This window comes from Homo sapiens, chromosome 9 (genome assembly GCF_000001405.40).
Source record: "Homo sapiens chromosome 9, GRCh38.p14 Primary Assembly".
In the NCBI taxonomy this organism is placed as follows: domain Eukaryota; kingdom Metazoa; phylum Chordata; class Mammalia; order Primates; family Hominidae; genus Homo; species Homo sapiens.
Window position 1 is genome coordinate 119080677 of NC_000009.12, and position 8407 is coordinate 119089083.

The window sequence follows — 8407 nt, forward strand, 5'->3', positions numbered from 1 at the left end:
TAAAAATATCTGCCTCTATAAACACAGATAGCTACATATAGAGATATACAGTAAGTCCCTATGTGCACACATTAGTATATGCCTAAGCACATAGGCATACACATGTCCACGTGTACATCCATATGTGGTCATGCATATATTTATACACAGGCATGCATGTGTCCAAACACACATCCACACTGACACATATGCACAGAGGGTATTTTGACAACACCGAACAGCTCCAGCAGCAGATACTGTGGAGGTTCTTATAATTTAAGCCAACAATTGTCACTAAACTTAAGTTCTGGTTTAGAAGGCGCTGGAATCTCCAGCTGCATTAGGGCCTTATCTGTTAATCTTCTTAAATCAATTAAAACAAAGCTTTAAAACATCAAATTGCTATATTATCTGTACAATGTAAAATCTACCGTGTGAATTCAATTCCAAGTGAATCAAAGAATGCTAAAACAAGAATAGAACTTAACGATGGTTCTCAAACTTCAGTGCTATAACAACTCCAGGAGCATGTTTATTTTGCCAATCATTAGTCTTCAGCCCAAGAGACTCTGACTTAGTCTCAGGTGGGGACCAGGAATCTGCATTTAACAAGCTTCATCAGTGATTTAGATGGTGGTGGTTTGTGAAATATCTTTTGAGAAGCACTAAATTAAAGATGATCAAAACCTCACTTTGCAAAAGAGTTAATAAAGGTCCAAATGATGAAGTGACATTCCAGAATTATGCTACTGTTAATAGCATAATAGGATTTGGAACACAGATCTTGTCCCTGTATCCCAACAAGATGAGATATGAAGTTATTATTTTATGGTATCTGTGTCTCATCTTCCAACAGAACTTTAAGCTTCTCAGGATAATTGCAATCTCTCTCTCTCTCTCTCTCTCTCTCTCTCTGTCTCATATTAGAATACACATAATAAACCAAATAAAGAGAAGAAACAGTAGAGAAATATATAAGAAAAAGACATTTACTGATGAAAAGCAGGTGACTGAATTGGGAAGAGCATGAATATTTATTAAGTTTATATTACGTGACTGGTGCTATATTTGAGCTTTGTACCAGTTGGGGCTGTGATTGGCTGCAAATAACAAAAACATCTAACTAAAGTGGCTAAAACCAGTAGGAGTTTATTTTATCTTGTAAAATAAGGGTTCAGAGTGAAGAATTGCTTTAACAGCTCGAGAATATTGGGATTGATGTCTATAGATTACTAGTTCCTTTTGCCATTTTTTTAATGTTTGTCCACTCATGATCACAAGACAGTTGTTGCAGCTCCAGTCATTGCATCTGAATTCAAGGTAAAAAGGCTGAGGAGATATACCAATTTCATTTGCCACTTTTATTGAGGAACAAGAGCCTTTCTGGAAAATCTCAGAAGGCTTCAGCCTATATATCACTGGGGGAACATGGAGCTGAGAATTTGCTCTCAGAAATAGATTGTGTCAGCAAAGATGAAGAGGGGGTGGCTTTGGCACGTTTTGCATCTTCACACTTATAACGGAGAAAAGAAGGAATGATCCATGTGATATAAGGATGAAACAGTAGGCATTTCTCTGCCAGTATTTTGTGGATGACGTTGGAATAACTGTCTTTTCATGCAGCAGGCATTGTTCAAGTGTTCCTCACGTACCAAAAGCTGAGCTAGGTGCCATGAACATAAAGTAGAAATAGACATGATTTCAGTCCTCATTTCACAGTTAAGGATCCCACCATGAAAGCAACACTGCAATTCAATATAATATGTTCTACAATGGAGACAAACAAGATGTTTTAGTTTTGCATATCATTTCCATGTCCCTTAAAGTGTTTTTTGTTATTGTTGTTGTTCTCTATATGGCTTAGTATAAAGAACTGCAACCCACAATGTCCAGTATAATATAAACTGGGACCACCTAAGTAGACTCATCTCATGCTCTTCTTGCTCCTTCTTATAATGGACCAAGCTTCCTCCTACTTCAGGATTCTTGCATGTGACATTTCCTCTGTCTAGAATATGCTTTTACCCAACTCCTCAACCTACATCATCTGTCAATCCCTTTATCATTTAGATCCCAGCTCACATGTAATATTGAGCCCCCTAGACTAGATTACATTCCTTGTTGTCATCCTCATAACACTCTTAGTGTCTACCACGTCTTGCTATTATATCAATATGTGCCATTTGTTTCATATATGCCTCTCCGTCTATACTTCAAACTCCATAAGGGAAGGGGATATGTGTTCTTGAATAACAATTTTATCTCCAATACCTAGCACATAGTAGGTACTCATCATTAAACATCAATCAAATAGATTACTGCATAAATAGGTGGAATGAAGCTACAGGTTCTGCTTAGCGGTACCAGGCTTCGCAAAGTATATAACATTTAAACTTGTCCTCTCTGATCCTCAGTTTTCTACATATTTTTAATGAGTAGGACAAGGTGATTGCTAAAGGCCTGCTCAGCTTTTCATTGACATTTACTCTTGAGTCCTGACTCCATCTCTACCTTTCTGTGTGAATTTGAGCAACTTGCTTAACCTCCCTCAGCCTCAATCTCCTCTGTCAAACAAGTAGAGATGATCTCTGAGGCCCCTTTCAAGCCTGAAGCATCAGTACATTTTTGAAACTCCAGAAGCAACATGAAAACTGCAGGGTGAGAGCTGGAGGGATTCTGCCGAGTTGTGGGTTTTGCAGGTGTTTCCCAGCAGGTTCCCAAGGAGCCATTCTCGAAGGAACTCAGCGTGTTACCTGGACTAATTTATAAAGGAAATGAAAAGGAAATGGACTCGTTATAATGAACACCATTAATTCACCACTCCAGACTTCACTGTGTAAACAGCAAGTATCAAGCGATTCAGTTGTCATTTGTCGATTGAATTCTGCTATTTTGCCTGTTGGAAATGACCAGCCAACACAACAGCGTGCAGATGATGGCAAGACTACTAATTAGCATATATATTGTTTGTCCTGGTATAAATTTATGGCAAATAGCAATATTTTACACTCCAGTAAAGTTAATAAATGAAGCTTTGGGCTATAAAAATTTCATGTTCCTTTGTGCAAAGGTCAATTATAAATAGTTAAGCACATATTCATTCAAAAGCTTGAGGCCTCACAGCCAGGAGAATGAAATATATTCTGGTAAATTTGCACTCTGGCTGGACTTGCCTTTCATTTTATAGCCTTGGTGACATCCCTCTTTGCTCGTCGGCACAGTCTGCATTCTCAAAGAACTCCCCTGGCTGGAGAGACTAAATGAAATGAGTATGTAAACATTCCTAGCCCTGTGGTTTGACACTCAGAATGTGTTTAATAATGCCAGTTTAATCTGAACGGGAAAGCCCATGTGAGAGAAGAGGCAACTGGGATTCACAGCAACACCTAAAGTTCTTTGTCCACAAGAAGAAGCCTAGACAAGAAACAGGAGATGTGTTTTCTTATTCCAGTTCTACCATGAACTAAGAGATCATGGAACAGGATCAGTCTCCTCTCTAGGCCTTTGTTTCCCCATTTGAAAAAAATGAAGAGAGAGAATTTCATCAGTGTTCCGATTATCTGTTGGCTGCATAACAAAACTCCCAAGAGACAGACTTGTTTAAGTTGTTTTGAAAACTGCAATCATTTTATTTCGTCTTCTGATTTTGTGGGTCAGGAAGTTGGGCGGGGTTCAGTGGGAGATTCTCTGTTCCATCTGATGTCAACAGAGGTCACTTAATTTCTTTCTTTCCTTTCTTTCTTTCTTTCTTTCTTTCTCTTTCTTTCTTTCTTTCTTTCTTTCTTTCTTTCCTTTCTTTCTTTCTTTCTTTCTTTCTTTCTTTCTTTCTTTCTTTCTTTCTTTCTCTTCCTTCCTTCCTTCCTTCCTTCCTTCCTTCCTTCCTTCCTTCCTTCCTTCCTTCCTTCTTTCTTTCTTTATTTCTCTCTTTCTCTCATTCTGTTGCCCAGGCTGGAGTACAGTGGCGCAATCTCAGCTCACAGCAACCTCCGCCTCCCGGGTTCAAGCGATTCTCCTGCCTCAGCCTCCCGAGTAGCTGGGATTACAGGCGCCCACCACCACACCTGGCTGATTTTTGTGTTTTTAGTAGAGACGGAGTTTCACCGTGTTGGCCAGGCTGGTCTGGAACTCCTTACCTCAGGTGATCTGCCCCCCTCAGCCTCCCAAAGTGCTGGGATTACAGGCATGACTCCATTTATTTAGCTGGTGGATTGAGTGGTGGAGAATCTAGAGAACCCTCTCTCATGTATCCAGTGCCTTGGGGAGATGGTGAGAAGGCTGGGTTCTGCTGAGACTGTGCACTGGAATGTCTATGAATGGCCTCTTCTGCATGACATTGCCAGGGTAATGAGACTTCTTCTGTGGCAGCTCAGGGCTCCAATATGAAAGGCAAATGCTGCCAAGGCTGTGTCAGTAAACTGGTACAGCACCATTTCCACCACACTTTATTATACAAAGCAGTCACAGAGGCTTCATGGATTCAGGTAGAGGGAACATAGATCCTATCTCTTGATCAGAGAAGAATCAAGGTTTTGCAGCCATCTTTAATGTGCCCTACCAGTGCTTTCCGATTGGGTTCCAAATTAAGAGATGTTGCATGGAAAAGGATTTGGTGGTCAGTAAGTTTGGGAAATAGTGGGTTAAAAAAGTTGAGCAATTATTTTGTGTGTGCTGCAAGACTTCTTAATATCTTTGACTTATTCCCTCCTTCTCTTAGTACTTATTGTTTATACCAGGACCTGTCAGGCTACAAAAATGCAGCAGTGAACAAAATGGCACATTCGAGTGTTTGTATGTGTGGGGGAATTAGACAATAATAAAATAAACCCATAGTGTCAGGTCCTGTTATGTGTTATGAAAGCAAACTGCAATGATAGAGAATGCCAAGACTTACTCTTTCAGATGGGACAATCAGATGGAAAGAGGAAGAGATATATCAGCAGGTAGCTACACAGTGAGAACAGAAACCATACAGAAGTTCGATGCAGTAGCAACAGCAAGGTGCACAGCTCCCCGGAGTGGGAGCATTGTTGGTCAAATGGCTGGGATGGAATGAATAAGAACATGAGTGATGAAAGACGAGATCAGAGAAGCAAGGTAGGATATTTGGAGCAATGACAGACTTTGGAGTTTATTGAAAGTGTGATAGAAAGCCACAGGAGGCTTCTGGGGTGGAGGAGAGTGCATTATTACTTTTAAAAGATTCCTTCCTCACTTTGGGAGGCCAAGGCGGATGGATCACCTGAGGTCAGGAGTTCGAGACCAGCCTGGCCAACATGTTGAAAACTCGTCTCTACTAAAAAAAATACAAAAAAAACCCCACAAAAATTAGCTGGGTGTGGTGGTGGGCACCTGTAATCCCAACTACTCAGGTGGCTGAGGCAGGGAGAATCACTTGAACCTGGGGAGGCGGAGGTTGCAGTGAGCTGAGATCGAACCACTGCACTCCAGCCTGGGCGAGAGACCGAGACTCTGTCTCAAAAAAAAAGATTCCTTCCTACTCTATGGAGATAAACCATAAAAAGGACAAACAAGCAGGAATCAGTTAGGAAGCCACTGCAATATTCCAAGTGGGAGGTGATAATGATGGTATGGCCAGTGGTTAAGGTAAAAGTGAAGAGGTCTAGATCTCGGATATCTTATGGAAGTAGAGACAATAGGATTTGCTGATGGAAGGTGAAATGGGAGGAAAAAGTGAAAAAATGCTTCTTAGGTTTTGGGTCTATGCAGCTGTGGAACTATGGGGATATAGCCTTAAATAATTTGGTGTGTGTTATGATTGTTAAGATGAACACTTGCAGACTTATACTGAGGACCAGAGTTCCAAGGAAGACATTTTGAGAAATGTTAGACTACACTTGTCAAAGAAAGATTGCACCAGATTGAGTTACACAGGCAGGGAAGCCTTTATTCAAGACTATTGCAATAGAGGTTAAGACTTGCAATAGGGGAGATGAAACTTCACTGAAACAAAAGGCGGAGTATTTTTAAGAGCCAATTTAAGCTAGTGGAAAGGTACTGGATGATGTTAGTGGGGAGGTTGGCCATCTGTGCTTGCTAATTGATGCTTATAAAGTTAGGCTCCTCCCTACCCACAGCCATTGGGAGATAGAGGCATTATCTCCTTTGACAGTATTTTAAAGAATGACTCCCAGGTCCTTGAGAAAGTCCTTTCTAGATTGCAAATCTTGCAAGAGGCTGGGAGAAGATTTACATCCCAAAGGGGTAGAGAAAGAATAACAATTGAAAGTTTCCTAAAGTAAATGCTATAAGAAAAGGGAGGTCAGGGACTTATAATCAGAAAATCTTGTGTAAAGTTGAGTTGCCCTAAGGGGAATATTATGGTCTTCTTGGTTTTGCTCTATCATCTGATGCTTTCAGGTTTGAAAACTTAGACACACTACATGGAATCCTAGCAATCTAGGTCCTAAAACTATTTTGTCAAGACCTTCTATCTATGTGACTTTGCACAATTATCTTAAATTATGTTTGTCTTCACATTCTAATTCTTCTACCTCAAAGCCTTTGCATTCTGTATTCCTCCTTCCTGGATGGATCTTCCCTACATTTATGCATGGCTATATCCTTTTAGTCTTTTGTTCTCAGCGAGAATATCTCCTTTCAGTCTTTGTTTTTAGCGAGGCCTACCCTGACCACTATTTTAAAATGACCATTGGCCCATTGTTACTTCCTATCTCCTTAATTCCTAATGTAATATGCCATGTATTTATTTATTTATTTATTTACTTATTTATTTATTTTATGTTTCCTATTTGTAATCTGTTGCCTCCTGCTGGAATGGAAGCTTTATTGGCAAAGTGGCCAATCACAGAATTACTTGTTATAATAAGAAATTGAAAAACAAACCTAGAGATGTAAAAATTAAGGGAATACTTAAGGAAGTTGATACCTCTCATCAGGGGAATAATATGCAGCCATTTCAGTTATGTTTATGAAGATAGTGTAATAAGGAGAGCTGGTACATGGAAAGGATAAATTAAAAGAATCAGAATATAAAATTACAAATAAGTATTATCATATTATTATAAAAGCCAAACTTGAAAGAATCTATTCTACTTGTAACGAATATGTGATGACATTCAAAGTGGTTACCTTTAGGTGCCATTATTATGTATATTATGTTTTCTTCCTTTTCTTATTTTCAGGATTTTTTTTCAATTTTTAAATAATGATTAGATTCGTTTTTAGAGCGGAAAAGTAAAACTTTAAAAAACAAAAAAAAGACTATGAGACTACCAAGATTATAAACTTCTTTGTTCCCAATTTGTGACACATCCATAGAGCTCAAACTGCTTTGGCCTTCATAATGGGGCATGGCTTGACATGTTTTGAGTATCAAGAACAGAAAAAGCTGGAGCCTATCTTTTGAAACATTTGCATGACATTTTTAAGGGAGTGGAGAAATAGAAGCCTGGAAAGAGGAAACTAGAGGAAGAGAAACCACAGAGAGCAGTTTGAAGGCAGAAGCACGCCCACAGGGTGCTTTGGAGACCCTCCAGGCTGCAGAGAAGAGCAAGGTAAATAGGCGTGGAGCAGGTATTATCAATATTACGCAGTAACTAGGCAACTAAAAGATTTGTAAAGAAGGCACAGCATCATGCGAAATGCAGCAATGTGTTTTAAGGAGACAGGGTGAGGATTAACAGCCCTGTGATTCATGGAAACAGCAATTTGTCATAGGCGCTATCTGCCATGTGTAGGTGACAAAAAGTATAGAGACAATGCAGGAGAAGTGTGACAATGAACTGAGTGATAAACACAGATGGGAGAAGCACCAGAATGACTTCACTTTAATTATTTTGAGCTTGGCTTCCTCTACACAAAGCCTGGAGGAATTGTTCTCCCATTTTTGTTTGTTTTACTTGTGGTTGTTTATTAAGTGTTGAAATCGATTTCTCTCAGACATTTTCTTTTTCAGACCACAAGGAAGGTTTGTTTTTATTGAACACCTGCTAAGTGTTAGCCATTACCTTTGGTGGTATCTGTTAAACCTCTCAATGACCAATAGCGTGTACATGATTCTTCTTCTCATTTCAGAGACAGGTATGCTAAGACTTAGGAGAAGTGTTGCAATTTCATTATAAGATTATGTATTAGCATCTGTTAAATCCTTGTGTAGAATCCATGCCTGTCTAGCTTTACTTACTTATTTACTTTACCAATCAAATTATACATACAAAGAATTTTTTCTCTTGCACTGGGTTCAGAGTCCTCAAAACCTGTTTCTCAGAGTTTGAGGTATTACAGGTGATTGCCAATGAAGCCACAGCCTTCAGTTGTGTGTCTGTTGCTTTTCTGGTAGGTATACTGATGTGACAAGTTCCAATGCTCCTCAGCTTTCAATTTTCTAGCAAAATGGAAAATGCAATTACCGTATTAAGCAAAATATTGTTGTTGGTTCAAAAATAAT

General features: G+C 39.3%; 1 annotated feature.

Annotated features, from left to right (window-relative positions):
* Positions 5848–6784: an enhancer, noted in NCBI's record as "NANOG hESC enhancer chr9:121848802-121849738 (GRCh37/hg19 assembly coordinates)". NCBI's record gives its function as "activates a minimal SCP1, AML or CMV promoter by ChIP-STARR-seq in primed H9 embryonic stem cells {active_cell/tissue: H9 hESC(primed)}" and the evidence as "EXISTENCE:reporter gene assay evidence [ECO:0000049][PMID:30033119]".